Source organism: Homo sapiens, chromosome 2 (genome assembly GCF_000001405.40).
Source record: "Homo sapiens chromosome 2, GRCh38.p14 Primary Assembly".
Classification (NCBI taxonomy): Eukaryota; Metazoa; Chordata; class Mammalia; order Primates; family Hominidae; genus Homo; species Homo sapiens.
Window position 1 is genome coordinate 10,458,148 of NC_000002.12, and position 17,450 is coordinate 10,475,597.

The following is a 17,450-nucleotide window of genomic DNA, read 5'->3' on the forward strand; positions in this document are numbered from 1 at the left end:
ATAACCTCAGCAATTGTTTAGAACAAAGGGATCTTTTTCAGGGAGGAGTATTTTATCAGTGACACTGTTTAGAATTGATGGGCATGATGATAATAACAAGCAGAGCAACTTTTAGTCAGTTTTATTATTGTTTTAACATGATCTGCAGACAATGCGTGTCCTTATTGCCTGCACCTGGGGCAGAGAGCGCCCCTGGACCCACCCTTCCTAAACCACCACACCTGGCCTGGAACGCACACCTGGTAAGGGTACATGTTAGCTCTCATTGCAGCCACCCAGGGAGTCTTGGCTAAGTCTTTCCACGTCTCTGAGGCTGGATCTAACGGTTATTTTGTAGGGTTGTTGGATATAGGATTTTGCAGGGTCATGGTTGTAAGACTATCAGTTAAACTATAAAGAACCTAGCGCAAGCCTTGATGTTGGTAGGGGCTCAGTAACTGCACTGCCCCTCCCCTTCCCTGCTTCCCGGCTTCTGCATCAACAGCGTGCTGCTTCCCTCACCTAGACGTCATGCTTAGATCTTTGATGATTGAAATTTGTCTTATCTCGGCCGGGCGTGGTGGCTCACGCCTAAATCCCAGCACTTTGGGAGGCTGAGGCGGGCAGATCACGAGGTCAGGAGATCAAGACCATCCTGGCTAACACGGTGAAACCCCCTCTCTACTAAAAAGAAACAAAAAATTAGCTGGGCCTGGTGGCACGCACCTGTAGTCCCAGCTACTCAGGAGGCTGAGGCAGGAGAATCGCTTGAACCCGGGAGGTGGAGGTTGCGGTGAGCCGAGATCGCACCACTGCATTCCAGCCTGGGTGGCAGAGCGAGACTCCATCTCAAAAAAAAAAAAAAAAAGAAATCTGTCTCATCTCAAATCATGAAGCCCCAGTAACCGCACTGCTTCTGGCCTTCCTGGGAGCTCGTTACCTTGGCCATATCTCGTCTTGTCTGGTCTCTGCTCCTTTGACAAGGTGGACTGTTAGTGTTTAGGTGTGCGTGCTGTCTTGTCACCCCATGAGATTGCATGGTTCATGGACGACGATGTTTTCTCACCGTGCCCACATAGAAACCAAGCTCACGGAAATACAGAGACCACACACACACAGTCTCCAGTAAGGTCCTGATTTCAGATATTTGGCATCCCATTCTATGCAGACTCTCGGTGCTGACTTAAAGTAGGCATGGGATCCTACATGACACTTCAGTGGGGAGAAGATCCTGGTTTGCTTGGTATAGTCAGTCCTGATATAATGATCAGTTATGCTGTTCTGTACTTAACTTTTAATCAACAAGCAAATTATTTTGTTAACTTAAAACATATTTAAAATGCTATTGGATGGGAGAAACATCATCTTTCTCTTCAAAATAACATTAAGCGCCTCTTAAAATACTTTGGAGTGATTGTTGATGTTGTATTTGCTATAGTGAAATTTATCAAGAGAGTGAGGAAATACACGTTCAGATTTTCTTCATCTTTAGGGGTACTTGCACATACTTTAATGTGGTTACTACTTTTGTCTTCCCCACTAGACTGCACTCAGGACTTGGAGTTTTGGGAGGCGGGTTCTGTGTCTACGCCCTCATTGCTGTGTGAGCTGCAGGGTGGGTCTTCAGTAAATGTCCATCAAAAGAAAGATGTCGGAAACTTAATGTCCATTTGAGGTGCAGAAGGAAGGAGTTTTTTTCCTTCTTACAGTCAAATATATGATATAAAATTCCTCTACCCTTTGTCTTTTTTTTTTTTTTTGACAGAGCCTCACTTTCCTGCCCAGGATGGAGTGCAGTGAGTCCATCTCGGCTCACTGCAAACTCCACCTCCTGGGTTCAAGCAGTTCTCCTGCCTCAACCTCCCAAGTAGCTGGGACTATAGGCATGCGCTACCATGTCCAGCTAATTTTCGTATTTTTAGTAGAGACAGGGTTTCACCATGTTGTCCAGGCTGGTCTCGAACTCCTGACCTCAAGTGATCTGCCCGCCTTGGCCTCCCAAAGTGCTGGGATTACAGGTTTGAGCCACTGTGCCCAGACCCCTTTGTGTCTTTTGAAATTCAGTGGGTCCATTCATTCATTGGACAAATATTTGTCCATTCGTTGGACAAATATTCATTAAGCTCTTTATGTAGCAGACTTTCTTGATACTTGGACACTGTAAATTTAGGTTCACATCTTGAATTTCCAGCTGAGTTTGATCACTGTGAATGATCATAGAGTTTCCAGTTGTTTTCTCTTTTCTAACCACACCACGAAGGCGGCTCTGACTTACGCCAAACTATACCAGAGAGGCCGCCATTTCCTCCTCCTCCTCCTCCCCTTTTGAGAGCACCTGTGCCTTCCAGTCTTAGAATATATCTACCCTCGGGCTCAAGTGATTGGATGTGTAGATAAAACCAGACGGGTCAGATTCCCTCAGACTGGATTGTGGTCTGAGGGCGCCCCAGGCACTGGAGCTAACGTGGGAGGCTGGGGATGGAAACCAGTCGTTGGAGTCAGCCACGATGAACGGCGTGCGGGCTGATGCGGGAGCCACACAAGCCCGTATGCACAGAAAAGAATGACATCCACAGCCGAGACAGCAGCAATGAGGGCACATGGGAAGGATAGGGCGCCACCTGGCCCTTCAGAGTCCACTTCCAGCCCAGTCAGGGCAGAACTGCCTCCCTCAGCTTTCACACAATTTCCCCAACTTCTGAGAATTATCTCCCTTTACTTAATTGAGGTCAATTTGGTTCCTGGAAACCAAACATTCCTCAGTAATAACCAGAAACATTTTTCTGGAAGAATAGGATTTGATTTATAATAATCTGCTCATAATTGGCTTTCCAGGACCAATGATACATGCCAATTGCAAAGTAAGAGCCTGCTTGTAATCCCCGCGTGAATCCTCCGTGTGTCCCACCAAGCAGGTTTATTCTAGAACTCATGCCAGGCAGAACAGCTTTAATTCCATGGTGCAGTCACTGGTTCTGCCCCCGCTGGTCTTAGGATGAGATGGCGCACACTGTCCTGAGGTCCAGATTTTCGGACGAGGTCTAGAGAAAGCATCTGTTTCAGTGGCTTCTCTCTGTTCTTCAGGCCTGCGTGGCCCCTGGAGAAGAGACAAAGATCCTCAATCCATTCAGTCTAGCTGTCAGGCTCTCAGTGCCGTGCTCATGGTGGTCTGGCCTTGCCAATTGCTTCCCCAGGCTGTATCTGATGCTCTCTCTCCCATCAACAGCACTTGCTCTCTGGACCCAAGTGTTGATTCTGCAATCATGGAAGTGTTCTGGATCTTCACTGTCTAATACAGCGGCCATGAGCCACGTGTAGTTCTTGAGCACTTGAAATGTGGCCAGGGTGACTAAGAAACTGAATTAATTGTATTTCTATTTTTTTTCTTTTTTTGAGATGGAGTTTTGCTCTTGTTGCCCAGGCTGGAGTGCAATGGCATGATCTCGGCTCACCGCAACCTCCACCTCCCGAGCTCAAGCAATTCTCTGCTTCAGCCTCCTGAGTAGCTGGGATTATAGGCGTGTGCCAGCATGCCCAGCTAATTTTTGTGTTTTTAGTAGAGATGGGGTTTCATCATGTTGGCCAGGCTGGTCTTGAACTCCTGACCTCAGGTGATCCACCCACCTCGGCCTCCCAAAGTGCTGGGATTACAGGCGTGAGCCACCGTGCCCAGCCTATTAATTATATTTCATTTTACTTTGTGCAAACCTAAATAGCCATGCCTAGCTGGTGGCTCTCATATTGGACATTGTAGCTCTAGGTCAAAGTCTTAAACATTGACATTAGGTATACAAATGGCAACCAACGTACCCGACGGCACGTGCATTTTTAACACAACCTGAACTCATTGGGACTGTGGTCCCCTTTCAACCTGGGCCTTTAATAACTGTGTTCTCAGGGCGGGAATCTGGTCCAGGACAGGATATTTCTTGAAAGTCTGCTCACACAGTGCCTCAGAAGCAAGTGGGAGTGTCCCCCTAAGCCATGAACTGTGCATCCTCAGCTTTAACCTCCTTTTGGAAGAAATCACCCCTGTAACCGTCTGGTGAGGTGTCATTCATCGCCAGAGTCTGAGGGCCACCCAATGACATAATTTTAACTTTAAAACAACTTTTTCATGCTGCTGGACAAAGCCTATTCTTCCTATTCATAAAAGCAAGTCCCTGATTGTACTAAATCGGCTCTCATCTATCCTTAGTTTTTGCAAAGCACACACTGACCTGTATGAAGAATCCAGAAAGATGCTGACCTGTGCATTTGAAGCAAAGGGAGGTATGTGTGACACTGTCACACCTCTGTGGACAACTCCCAGTGATGTCACTGAGCATGGCTCACAGAGAGTGGACTTGTGGCCCACTGACTTGAAGGTGGAGACGGCCCCTCATGGCTTAATTGCACACAGCACATGGGCACTTGTACGTAGGCAATGAAAACGCACATGCTCTGATCTGCACTCCAGCCAAGGGCAGCGGCACATGTGTGCGCTGTGGCTCCACGGGGGCAGGCAGAGCAGCGTGCTGGGTGGCAGAGGACCTGGTGCCCAGCCCCAGCTCTGCACACAGGGGTTGTGTGACTTTAGCTGAGTTGTCTCCCTATCTGAACCCTACATTTCCCATCTATAAAATGGGAAGTCAGGGCAACTGATCAGATGAGGTGTAAGGGTCCTTACGACACTGACTTTCTCCAGATGTAAAGGTGAGGCACTGGGAAGAGAAGGGATCCGCCCAGGGAGGGGCGTGGCCATGCTGTGCGGGAGCTCTCACCTCCAGATTGCAAGTGCAGCTGAACTTTTGGCACTTTGCAAACGCCAGCTTCATGACCATCTACATGAAGGAGTAAACTGGTAACAGACGAGCTAGGTGCCAGCAATCTTGGCCAGGGAGAGTCTTTCTCTTCTGAAAAGAGATTAGGTTTTGAGGCAGATAAACTTGGGTTCAAATCCCAGCTTCTCCATTGGACAGTTGCGTGACCTTGGACAAAGCAAACTTCTCTGTGCCTCAGTTTCTTCATGTGTAAAATGAGGATAATTGTACCTGTTCTATTGGGTTGCTACTTCTTTGCTTTTTTCATTTCTCCTTTTAACTAATATAAAATAATAACAACAATAATAATAGGCTGGGGCTGGGCGCAGTGGCTCACGCCTGTAATCCCAGCACTTTGGGAGGCCGAGGTGGGTGGATTGCTTGAGCCCAGGAATTCAAAATCAGCCTTGGCAACATGATGAAAACCTGTCTCTACCAAAAATACAAAAATTAGCCAGTCTCATGACCTGGTCTCAAAATAAATAAATAAATAAATATTAAAAAAAAAATAGGGTGGGTGTGGTGGCTCACGCCTATAATCCCAGCACTTTGGGTGGCCAAGGCAGGAGGATTGCTTGAGCCCAGGAGTTCGAGACCAGACTGGGCAACACAGTGAGTCCCCATCTCTACAAAACTTTTTTTTTTTAAATAGCTAGGCATGGTGGCACGCACCTGTAGTCCTGCCTACTCGGAAGACTGAGGTGGGAGCAGCTTGAAGTTTGAAGCTGCAGTGAGCAATGATTGTGCCACTGCACTCCAGCCTGGGTGACAGAACGAGAACTTGTCTCTTCAATTATTCATCAGAGTTGATATCCAGGTGTTAGGGCCATGCCAGTTGTTTAAATATCAAAATAATTCTGCAGCCCTCCGCATCCCTTGAGACCCTCCCTGCTTCCTTCCCTCCCTCCCTCCCTTCCTCCCTCCCTTCCTCCCTCCCTCCCTCCCTATAATTCAGTAACTAAAGGGCTGCTCCCTGCTTTTCAGGGGGCCTGTGGGACTCAGCATTGGCCAGTGTCTCTGTGGTACCAGTTATTAATTTTTCTTTAATTAATAGACTTTTTAATTTTGGAGCATTTTTAAGTTTCAGAAAAATTGAGCAGAACATTCAGAGTATATACTCTCCTACCCCAATTTCCTCACTGTTTACACCTTGATCAGTGTGGTACATTTGTTACAATTGATGAGCCAATATTGAAATACCAACACATTATTATTAACTAAAGTCCACAGTTGACATTAGAGTTCACTTTCTGCGTCACACAATTGTTAACTATTTTTTGTTTTACCTTTTTTTTGGGGTGGGTGGTGGAGACAGGGTCTTACTCTGTCGCTCAGACTGGAGTGCATTGGTGCCATTTCAGCTCACTGCAGCCTCGACCTCCCGGACTCAAGTGATCCTCCTACCTCAGCCTCCTGAGTAGCTGGGACCAGAGGTTCACACCACCAGGCCCAGCTACTTTATTTATTTTTTGAGTTTTAGTAGAGACCGAGTTTTGCCATGTTGCCCAGGCTGGTCTTGAACCTCTGGGCTCAAGCTATCCTCCCATCTTAACTGTCTTTAATATTGCCCTGTTGTTGATGATGGCTCACGCTGCCTGAGTGGCTGTGTGCCGACATCCACTGCGGTAGGTGCTTTCCCACTTTGTCATTGCATCCCCATGTTTTATTTTATTTTATTTTGACATGATCATTAAACAGCATCATATGTTTTATTTTAATAGTAAGAGAATATGAACATTTTGCTCGGTTGACAAATCTGCTGCCCTGGAATGGACAGTCTTAGATTAACGTAAGAATCACCTAGGGAGCTTTTTAAAATGTGCCAATGCTCAGGCTCACCCAGACGAAGAAAACAGAAATGCTTCGGGGGCTGGAGCCCAGACGCTACTCCTATAGCCCTCGAGGTGACCCGAACCTGGTGCCTGGGATGAAGGCTGCGAGACCCAGGCCTGGGTCCCAGCGGCATCCTGGGGTCTTGGTAGAAACACAGAATCTCAGGCCATACGCCAGAACTTCTGAGCTAGAACCTGAGTTTTGTTTTTTGTTTGTTTTTTGAGACTGGGTCTTGCTCTCTCACCCAGGCTGGAGTGCAGTGGCGTGATCTCAGCTCACTGCAACCTCCACCTCTCAGGCTCAAGCGATTCTCCTGCCTCAGCCTCCTGAGTAGCTGGGACTACAGGCATGAGCCACCACACCTGGCTAATTTTTGTATTTTTTGTAGTGATTTCGCTATGGTGCCCAGGCTGGTCTTGAACTCCTGACCTCAAGTGATCTGCCTGCGTTGGCCTCCCAAAGTGCTGGGATTACAGGCATGAGCCACCGCACCTGGCAGAACCTGAATTTTTTTTTTTTTTTTGAGACGGAGTCTCGCTCTGTCACCCAGGCTGGAGTGCAGTGGCGCAATCTCGGCTCACTGCAAGCTATGCCTCCCGGGTTCATGCCATTCTCCTGCCCCAGCCTCCCAAGTAGCTGGGACTACAGGCACCTGCCACCACGCCCGGCTAATTTTTTGTATTTTTAGTAGAGACAGGGTTTCACCATGTTAGTCAGGATGGTCTCGATCTCCTGACCTCGTGATCCGCCCGCCTCAGCCTCCCAAAGTGCTGGGATTACAGGCATGAGCCACCGCGCCCGACCCAGAACCTGATTTTTGATAAAGGCCCCCATGATCTATGTGCACAAGGGTGCTGGGAAAGCACCGACCTGAAGCAGCATCCTCGGCTTGGAGGTTATAGGCTCCCATGGGAACATGATATGTGACACCCTGTGAACTCTTCCCAGGATTTCCAAGCCTTCCCATGCCTTGGAGCCCATCTGCATAACAGGCAAAGGGCCCTCACTCTAGACCTGTATGTTTTGACCAGGATTGTTAATTGACCAGGATTTACGTGAAAAAAATATGCATGTGCTGTAATATCATCCTCGTATCCCACTATATGTATAGGTACACAGAAGATTTTACTTTGATTTTATTTGACTCCTTGTGAGTTCACCACCATGCTTGGATGGGGAAGGGTACTATTCTGAGGTGGTAGTGGGTTTAAGCATTTGCATACTCTATCATTAATTTTATCATAAATAAAACAGTAATAAAGCCCTGGAAGAACCTGTACCCCAAAGCCATCTGCCTACGCATTCTGTGTTTACTTAGTTATTTGGCATTTACCTAGTGCGTTCCAATTTACAGAATGCTGGCATGTGTTTATCTTCTTTAACCCTTGTAACAACTTTGTGAAGCAGGAGCTATTTCAGGCCGGACGCTGTGGTACACGCCTGCAGTCCCAGCACTTTGGGAGACTGAGGCAAGAGGATTGCTTGAGTCCAGGAGTTTAAGACCAGCCTGGCCACATAATGAGACTCAGTCTATACAAAAAGTAAAAAATTAGCCGGGCGTGGTGGCGTCTGCCTGTAGTCTCAGCTATTCAGGAGGCTGAGATGAGAGGATTGCTTGAGCCCAGGAGGTTGAGGCTGCAATGAGCTATGATCATACCGCTGCACTCCAGCCTGGGCAACAGCAAGACCCTGTCAAACAAACAAACAAAAGAGAACTGTTTCAAAGACAAAGACAAGGAGATGAAAGCTCAAGGAGGCTTTATATGTCTATTGAAATAGCAAGGCAGGAATCCAGGCCTTCTAGTGCTAGGCGATGGCAAATATACTTCTCTAGATCCAAAACTAGAGAAACAGGCGGGCGATGCTCAGTGAATGGCTACAGATTGAACAAACTGAGGGGAGTGAAAAGTCACTCTCTGGTTCCTCGCCTCCTAAGTTCTGGAAAGTTCTTTCAATGGCATTAGCAGAAATGACCAGCCACCAAGACATTTTCTGCCTCCAATGACACCCAACAGTGACTCCTTTCAAGTATGTTGGCCAACTTGCAGACTGGACTCCAGTGTGCTGGGCATTGTGAAGGGGTTCACTGCACCCCTCCCTACCCCATTCCTCCAGGCCAAGGGCCAGAGGGGGCCCCACAGGCTGACGGTCACCAGATTCAAGACTCTGGTGCCGCAGGAGGCTGCTCAAGGGCCCCAAGGCATCTTTTGCCCTCAGCACCAACGCTGGCCCCCAAGATGGCCTTGGCACATGCTGCAGTCGTAGGAGAGAGAACCGACAGCAGGGGTCTCCTAGAGTCATCTGGGCGGGTGTAGCTCTCAGGGCCAGAAGGACCCGTGTGAGAGGTAGGGTGAGAGCAGGTAAGGTCTTTGGTGCCTTCGGTAATCTAGACGCATCTGTACCCACAGGCTGCCGAGGTCACATGAAGCAAGGGTCCCGTTTGTATTCTAGGACCATCATTTTCAATTATTTTTCATGACAAGTGTGTACTGTTTCAAACACATGAGCTGACTTGGTTTCATGGGCTATTTGGGGCCAGTATTTGCCTTTCATCACAGTGTTGCTGGGGTAAAATACATCTCACATTTCAAATGACTGACTTGCAAGCAACATCTTAGAATACAGCCCACCTTTCTTAGTTCTAGAAGTGGGGTGCTGCGGGGTGCCCCGGGGGAGGGGAGGGAAAAGCAGCAGAGGGGCTGCCACCATTGCGGTAACTCTGCCTGTCTCCTGGAAGCAGCGGGACGGGCACCACTTCCATCCAGCAGATGTCAGCGCCATAGCCTATAGCTGGTGGAGGAGTCCGCCCCGTTCACTTCTGTTGCTGGCCGAGTCCCACTTCACTGAGAGTGTCTGTGCCGTTAACCAGAAGGAACACTGGGCGGGAGGGGCGGGTCTTGTCCAGTGCTGTGTCCTCACCTTGCCTGGTGCAGGGCACGCCTCACGTGCCGGGATGGACAATGTGTGTGAGTGAGGTCAAATGCACATAACATTTACTATTTTATATTTATTTATTTATTTATTTATTTTGAAACAGAGTCTCACTGTGTTACCCAGGCTGGAGTGCAGTGGTGCGATCTCAGCTCTCCGCTGCCTCCACCTCCCACGTTCAAGCGATTCTCCTTCCTCAGCCTCCTGAGTAGCTGGGGCTACAGGCGCATGCCACCATGCCCATCTAATTTTTTTATTTTTAGTAGAGATGGGGTTTCACCATGTTGGCCAGGCTGGTCTCAAACTCCTGACCTCAGGTGATGTGCCCACCTTGGCCTCCCAAAGTGCTGGGATTACAGGTGTAAGCCACTGTGCCTGGCCAAAATTTACCATTTTAAAGTGTACCATTCAGCCGGGCATGATGGCTCATGCCTATAATCCCAGCACTTTGGGAGGCTGAGAGGGGCGGATCACCTGAGGTCAGGAGTTTGAGACCAGCCTGACCAACATGGAGAAACCCCGTCTCTACTAAAAATACAAAATTAGCCAGCCGTGGTGGCAGGCGCCTGTAATCCCAGCTACTCAGGAGGCTGAGGCAGGAGAATCGCTTGAACCCGGGAGGCGGAGGTTGCAGTGAGCGGAGATCGAGCCATTGCACTCCAGCCTGGGCAACAAGAGCAAAACTCCATCTGAACATAAATAAATAAATAAATAAAGTGTACCATTTAGTGGCATTCAGTACATTCACAATGTCCTGCAACCAGCACCACTGTTGACTTCCAGAATGTTTTCATCACCCTGAAAGGAAACCTCATAACCATTAAGCATCCTGGTGGTTGTAATAAGGAGCACTCACTTTTTAAAAGTACTATTAATTTTTTGTTTAAGACAGGGTCTTGCCCTGTCACCCAGGCGGGACTACAGTGGTGCGATCGTAGCTTACAGCAGCCTCTAACTCCTGGGCTCAAGCAATCCTCCCACTTCAGCTTCCTGGAGTAGCTGGGACTACAGGCATGCAACACCACACCCAACTAATTTTTTAAAGTTTTTTGTAAAGACAGAGTCTCACTATGTTGCTCAGGCTGGTCTTGAACTCCTGGGCTCAAGCTGTCCTCCCACCTCAACCTCCCAAAGTGCTGGAATTTCAGGTGTGAGCCACAGTGTCAGGCCATAAATGTTATTTTCTAAAATGAGAAGAAACAGCTTTGCCTTAAAGAATGAGCCCACCCCTCTGTTCACCCCCATCACTGGAGAGGGGAGGCCCGGCCCTGTCGGATGTGCTTTGCTGTATTTGGGGCCATTTTTGTAATGTGGCTTGTATTCAGTCCTTCACATTGGATTCTACGGGCCTCATACACACAGGTGTGTGCACACACACACAAACACACCATCCTCATTCTTTTACAGTTGCCCTCTGTGATGGTCTTAAAACTTCTAGGAGGACCCCTGGCAGTGAAGAAGTCTAATTCCCATTTGTGGAGGGATTCCATGCTCCATTGTGGGACATCCTCAAGGTTGTCTAGACACATGGACTTGGCAAATATTTATGCAATTCCGCTGCTGTTGAAATAAGAAAGGCCTGTCTAGGAAGGCAGACAGCCCAAGAAAGGGGAGGACAGGCCCTCGGGGCCAGATTTGGGTGGGATTGGCCAAGGCCAGGCTCAGAAATTCCACCTGGTCAGGGTCTGAGGGACTGGCTCAGACCAACCCAGATCAGGAGGCTGAGAGGACAGCAGACTGATGGGGTGAGGGGGCCCAAGACCAGGGGAGGCCTTGTGCACTCTGGAGCACCAGGTTGGTGGCCAGCCCCTGGCTCCTGGTGGCAGGGCCATCTGCCTGGTAGAAGTACCCAGAAGTCTGCAGCGGTAGCGGCATGTACCTTTTCCCCCTATGGGGCAAGGTCACCTGGAGAGGGGGCTGGACAGGCCACCTCTGGGCAAAGTTAGCACATGGGACATGCTTTCCCTGTCGTGCCCACAGTCCAGTGAGGGGAAGGAAAGGGCTGAGGGCTTGTCCTGCAGGCAGTGTCCCAGACAACCAGTCTAAGAGGCCTGGTGGCCGGGCTGGCTCCAACACCCCCAGCTAATGTCATTTCAGGGCTGAGCTGCAGGCAGTATGTGGGGGCCTGTGCTCCAGGCCCCAGTGCTAGGGGCGCATTCTTAGGGCCTGAAAGGAAGAGCGGATGGAGGAGCATGAAAGAACACAGGAGCCTGCAGGTGAGCTGGCGTCCAAGAACCTGTTCGAACTGAAATGTGCTTGTGCCGCCATTCCCATTTTTAAAGAGAGAATCCAACAGAAAAATGTGTTGATTCCTTTCAGATTTGCCATGCCTGAGAAACACCGTTCATTCAGGCCATGGGACTGCACCCAAGTTCTTGCCCCTCTCTCAGCGGCACTGGGAAGGGACACTTCATTCCCCAAGGCTGCGCTTGCAATGCTAACGCTGTCAGGGGCAGAAGAGAATCCTGGGAGATCCAGGCTTGCAGGCTTGGAGGCAGGAAGCACCTTAAAGTTCAACACTCCACTTTAGCAGGATCTGAAAGAGACAAGCATGACATATCCACAGTGGGGTAACCCCAGCTAATCCTCTGTCTCTCCGAGCTGTCACATAGCAGGAGCAGCTGTAGTGACTGCTCTTGGGTGTTGTCATGACCTGGGTGAAGGAGAGCCGCAGTCCCAGCCAGGATTTTGGCAAAAGCAACAGAGGAAAGAATTGGATAGCACTGGTGCTCCTCAGTCGGCTCTGCTAGGACAGAATGCAGGCAGCTGGCGGGACAGGAATGGCAGAGCAGATGGGGACCCTGATGGAGCCCTTGCCACGTGTGGGGCTCTGTGCAGTGGGATTTCGTGTTCGTTAACTCATTTGATCCTTGCCACAGCTCCTTTTACTAATGAGGAAACTGAGGCAGGGAGAGGTTGGAACTTGCCCAAGATTAACCACAATGGGTACAGAACCAGAGTTCAAATCCAGGCTTGTCTGACTTCAACAGTCATGTCGGAGGAAAGAGCAAAGCATCCGGAGCCGCTTCAGTGTCTCCAGGTCAAGGGAAGGAGCTTTGCTGGTGGTGGTGAGGCTGTTGAGTAAGACAAGGAGAGCCATCAGCAAGGGGTCTCTCAGGGGCAACTGTGCCCCGTTCTGGAACCGCGCACACTCTCCTAGGAGAGTCGCCTATTAATCCATGCACCCAACAACAGAAACTATTAGCTCAGCCTGGCTCACGGTTAAAATGGAAGCCCTTCACTCACTTACCAACGTCCTCTGGAAATGCCATTGTAGGATTAATAAGCCTTCCTGCAACACAACCGGGTACCAGGTGTCAGCTGGCTGAGTGACAAGAGCATCAACTTCAAGCCAGAACATGGTTGGAATCCTAGTTCTCCTGTGTGACCCCAAATATGCCACTTCACTTTCAGAGCCTCCATTTTCCTCATCTGTAAAATGGGGATAACAACAGTCACTCATAGGGTTGTCTTAAGAATGTATTTCGAGGAGACAGCACAGGCAAAAAAAAGCCACGAGCCCCGTGCTCGGCACACAGCAGATGCTTGGTTGAGTCCAAGTATGAGGGAAGTGAGAGTTTTCCAAGCGAGAGGGTTGAGGAGCAGAAGCATTCTGACCTGAGAAATGGGTGTGCAGGCTTTGCTCAGCTCACATGAAGATAAGCCAGTACCAGGGTGAAACTTCTGAGTCAGCTCGGATAACTCCCCATAACGCCTGTAAGCCGTACAACATGTATTTAACACAGACGCTGCAACTGATTGAGGTCTCCCTGTCAATCACGTCCTGGGGAGGGGCGGGGAAACCAGCAGGGCGGCCCCCGTGGGGCCAAGCCAGGCCTGAGACAGTCGACTTGCGGTCTTGTTCAGACTTAGCTACTAACTGCTTTGGGGCCTTCGGCAAATTACTTAACTTCTCAGTGTCTCACTCCCCTTATCTGTAAAATGGGGATAATAATATTTACCTACCTCAGGGGGCTTGTTGCAAGAATTAATTAAAGTTTATGAAGTGCTTTGAGATTCCCAGATAAAAGGCCCTGCAAAAGTACAAAGGATTATTATCACAAGCCAGTAAGCTATAAAACATAATTTCACAGGAAAAGGCAAAATTTTAATTTCTATACAAGCAGAAACAGAGGCAGATATAGTCATAGAAAGTTTTTTTTAAGTCTAGAAGATAATTTACATAATTTTTAAAAATTATAACATATTTTCTCCTTGCCAATAATCAATGCAGCTTGATAATTACAGATTTCAGTGGTAGGCCAGCAAAGGGTCATAACGTGTCTCTTTGTGCCAGGCCTGTGTTAGGGACTCTCCTTGAGTTAGCCCTTGGAGTCCCACAGCAGCCCTGGGAGGCAAGTATCAGCACCCCAGCATCATGCGAGGGGAGAGAAAGGCCAGCCCTGGAACCTTGGAGGAGCTCTAGAGCTTTCCAGCTCTGAGGAATGCTTGGTGACCTTCTAATTCCCCTTGGCAGGGCATCTTTAAGCAGATTTGAGTTGTAACCACAAGGGGTAACCTAGAGAAAGGCTGGATCAGGCTGTTTGAAAGGAAAAATGAGCTGCTGCTATCTGCATTCTAGTTCATGTTTGAACACCTGTCTCCCCAAGAAAGCCCCCCTTCCTCCATCTCTAGGCTTCTTTCTTCACAAGAAAAAAGGAAAGATCGTCTCCATCTGCCTGTGAACTATGTAGGGAGACTCAATTACCTTCTTTAAAAAATATTAATAGATGATAGATATCTATCTATCTATTTAGATAGATGGAGCTTTAAAGATGAGAAGCCCTTTATATGGGAAGTTTTGTATGGCTAGTCCCTTTCATGTCCCCTGGAAGCCTTTCCACAGGTTTAATTAGGTGCCAGGGATGGGTAGAGCAAGCCCATACCTTTAGGATGGTTCTAAGGGGGACAGAGAGGCAGCGTGAGTGACCACGGGCTTGGGGTGAAGGCCTAGGTTGTTTCACTCTGGGGTTTGGGGTGGACACTAGAACTGAGCTCCTAGGCAATGCATGCAAAGCACCTGATACTGGGGGAGAAATGATTTTTATTTTTATATATTTTTTGAGAATGAGTCTTTCGTTGTCTCCCAGGCTGGAGTGCAGTAGCGCCATTGCAGCTCACTGCAACCTCCCCCTTCCAGGCTCAAGCCATCCTCCTACCTCAGCCTCTCGAGTAGCTGGGACCCCAGGTGCACGCCACCATGCCCAGCTAATTTTTTTGTATTTTTAGTAGAAACAGGGTTTCACATGTTGGCCAGGCTAGTCTCAAACTCCTGAGCTCAAGCGATCTTCCTGCCTTGGTCTCCCAAAGTGCTGGCATTACAGGCATGAGCCACCGTTTCTGGCCCAAAAAATGATTTGTATTATTCTTTTGTATATTAGATGGACAGAGAAATGGAAGAATACAGGGTGGGCAGAATAGTCTATAATTTCCCAGCTTGTCTGAAAAATTTCAAAAGTACATTTGGATTAGAAAATTATAACATGAAATGAATGGGCACCAATGGGTAAGTAAAAGGCATCTTTGTCTGGCTCATTCTGGGATCCATGTATCTGGGGAGAGGCTCCTGCTCTACTGGGGACGTGCAGAGGCAAACCTGAAAGTGGGGTCCTCAGAGAGCAGATGCCTGAAGCAAGCGCGGGGGTCCCAGCCCACCTGAGTTGCTTCCTCTGAGCTACAGAAGCTAAAGAGCCAGTAGCCCCAGTCACTTTTCTCCATGTGGAAGACATTGGTTCAGATCTCAGTTTTGCCACTTGCTGTCTGTGACTGCAGGATTTTTAAAATTTATCTTCTTATCTGGAAAACAAGAACCTCCCCCCAGGGTGTCCTGAGGACTCATGGGTCAGTGCTTAGCCAGCCTCCCAGGTGTGGAAATCCCCAGCCCCGGGAGGACCTGCCTCACCTCTGCTTGGGGCCAGCACCTTGCCGTGTGCTTTTTCTGTCTTATTTCATGAATTCTTCACTGTGAGATAGGAGATAAAATGTCAAGATCTTAATTTGACCTTCAACTTTGAAGAAATACTTTTCTACTAAATTCCCTTTTTATGAAAAAAGAGAGAAAGATAAAATCTGTAACAGGATAGAATACATCGATGCAATCTGTCCCTCCATATTCCAAGTACTCCAAGCAATCTCTGCTAGGATCTGTGCAGGAAACACGAGCTTTGCAAACACCTGGCAACAAGAGGCTTTTTTTTTTTTTTTTTTTTTGAGACGGAGTCTCGCTCTGTCGTCCAGGCTGGAGTGCAGTGGCGCGATCTCGGCTCACTGCAAGCTCCGCCTCCTGGATTCACACCATTCTCCTGCCTCAGCCTCCCGAGTAGCTGGGACTACAGGTGCCCGCCACCATGCCCGGCTAATTTTTTGTATTTTTAGTAGAGATGGGGTTTCACCGTGTTAGCCAGGATGGTCTCGATCTCCTAACCTCATGATCCGACCGCCTCGGCCTCCCAAAGTGCTGGGATTATAGGCGTGAGCCACGGCGCCCGGCCGCAACAAAGAGCCTTGAGCGGCTCCAACATCTCCCACCAGTGCCGGCATTCCTGGGCAGGTGACAAAGAGCCAGGGAGGGACAAACAGCCTGAGACCAGGCCAGCGGGGTTGTGAACTTCCCCCCCAGTACGGGCACCCAGAGTTGGTGCCGCACTCCACACCCACAACCTCTGCAGGGACAGGCCACCCGGAGCTGCTGACACAGATGTGCCAGAGAGAGGGAACCCGTGTTCCTCGACTCCAGGAATATGAGGATCAAAATAACCACATTTTAGCATCGGAAAGGGCTTTAAACATTTTTAATTTCTTATTTTTGGAGAGATGGAGTCTCACCATGTTGCCTAGGCTGGTCTTGAACTCCTGAGCTCAGGGCTTCCCAAAGTGCTGGGATTACAGACGTGAGCCACCGCACCCGGCCTGGAAGGGCTTTTGAGATGGTATCATTTTACAGAAGAGAAAAACGGTCTCGGAGAGGCCTAAGTGCTTTCTTAAGAGGGTACCGAAGCCGAGGACTGGCTTGCTCCCTGGGCCTGGCTGCTCAAGGTCCTTTCCCACTGGCTCTGCTTTTGATGGCCCCCCAGACCCTCCGTTTTTTCTTCTGCAAAACCAGTGTTGACCAGAAGCCAAAGTGATCATCAGCATAGAAATCCTGGCTGAGGAGCCTCTCAGGAGGCCACAGAGGAGGATCCCTCAACTGAGGGAGAGGGAAAGGCAGCCGCCTGGTGGGGCCAGAGGGCAGGGCCTCTCCTCTTTGGGGTCTGTGTTGGGAGGAAGGGGTTCCCCAGGAGAGTGCATGATCTTTCTTCCACCCTCTTGCTTCCCATGCGCTGGCCTTCGGCTGACTGGTCTTCTACCTTTATGCAGCTGCGTCCTAAATATGCCACATCAGAAGGAACAGGGGCTGCCGTTTGGATCTCCGTTGTGTGCAGGAAGTGCGCCTGTCCCACTGTCACGCAACCTCTCCCAGTCCTGCAATGACATCTGTAGAACGGAGTCCCTCTTCCACAGAGGGGGACCCAGAGGCTCACGGCGGTCAGGCGGCTCACCCAAGGCCACACAGTAAGGCCTCGGCGGTCTCCTGGCTCCACACTCACGGTCTCCCCACACCCACTCTCGGCAGCCCCTCTGGGGAGTGCCTAGAGGTTCCGTCACCTCTGCGTGGGGGCTGGGGGTCCAGCGGGAACTGTGTGCCAGCCACTGGACGCTTGTCTGTGAAGGGGGCTGATGGACCTAAGGGCTGCTCAGGGCATTTCTAGCTCTCATTCTCAGGGCTGGCCACGGGGGAGGGGGGGCTGTGTGAGGTCCCCAGGGAACCCTACCCCCGGCCCAGGGCGGGGAGGGCTGCACACATGTGGCTCAGCCAGCAGCCTTGGAAAGACCTGTCCTCCCCGTGGACCTGGAGACCAGGGTTCA

At 49.5% G+C, this 17,450-nt stretch overlaps 6 annotated features.

Moving 5' to 3' along the window:
• Positions 1,998-2,499: an enhancer, noted in NCBI's record as "H3K4me1 hESC enhancer chr2:10600271-10600772 (GRCh37/hg19 assembly coordinates)". NCBI's record gives its function as "activates a minimal SCP1, AML or CMV promoter by ChIP-STARR-seq in naive H9 embryonic stem cells {active_cell/tissue: H9 hESC(naive)}" and the evidence as "EXISTENCE:reporter gene assay evidence [ECO:0000049][PMID:30033119]".
• Positions 2,500-2,999: an enhancer, noted in NCBI's record as "H3K4me1 hESC enhancer chr2:10600773-10601272 (GRCh37/hg19 assembly coordinates)". NCBI's record gives its function as "activates a minimal SCP1, AML or CMV promoter by ChIP-STARR-seq in naive H9 embryonic stem cells {active_cell/tissue: H9 hESC(naive)}" and the evidence as "EXISTENCE:reporter gene assay evidence [ECO:0000049][PMID:30033119]".
• Positions 8,285-8,785: an enhancer, noted in NCBI's record as "H3K4me1 hESC enhancer chr2:10606558-10607058 (GRCh37/hg19 assembly coordinates)". NCBI's record gives its function as "activates a minimal SCP1, AML or CMV promoter by ChIP-STARR-seq in primed H9 embryonic stem cells {active_cell/tissue: H9 hESC(primed)}" and the evidence as "EXISTENCE:reporter gene assay evidence [ECO:0000049][PMID:30033119]".
• Positions 8,786-9,286: an enhancer, noted in NCBI's record as "H3K4me1 hESC enhancer chr2:10607059-10607559 (GRCh37/hg19 assembly coordinates)". NCBI's record gives its function as "activates a minimal SCP1, AML or CMV promoter by ChIP-STARR-seq in primed H9 embryonic stem cells {active_cell/tissue: H9 hESC(primed)}" and the evidence as "EXISTENCE:reporter gene assay evidence [ECO:0000049][PMID:30033119]".
• Positions 10,957-11,471: an enhancer, noted in NCBI's record as "H3K4me1 hESC enhancer chr2:10609230-10609744 (GRCh37/hg19 assembly coordinates)". NCBI's record gives its function as "activates a minimal SCP1, AML or CMV promoter by ChIP-STARR-seq in primed H9 embryonic stem cells {active_cell/tissue: H9 hESC(primed)}" and the evidence as "EXISTENCE:reporter gene assay evidence [ECO:0000049][PMID:30033119]".
• Positions 11,472-11,986: an enhancer, noted in NCBI's record as "H3K4me1 hESC enhancer chr2:10609745-10610259 (GRCh37/hg19 assembly coordinates)". NCBI's record gives its function as "activates a minimal SCP1, AML or CMV promoter by ChIP-STARR-seq in primed H9 embryonic stem cells {active_cell/tissue: H9 hESC(primed)}" and the evidence as "EXISTENCE:reporter gene assay evidence [ECO:0000049][PMID:30033119]".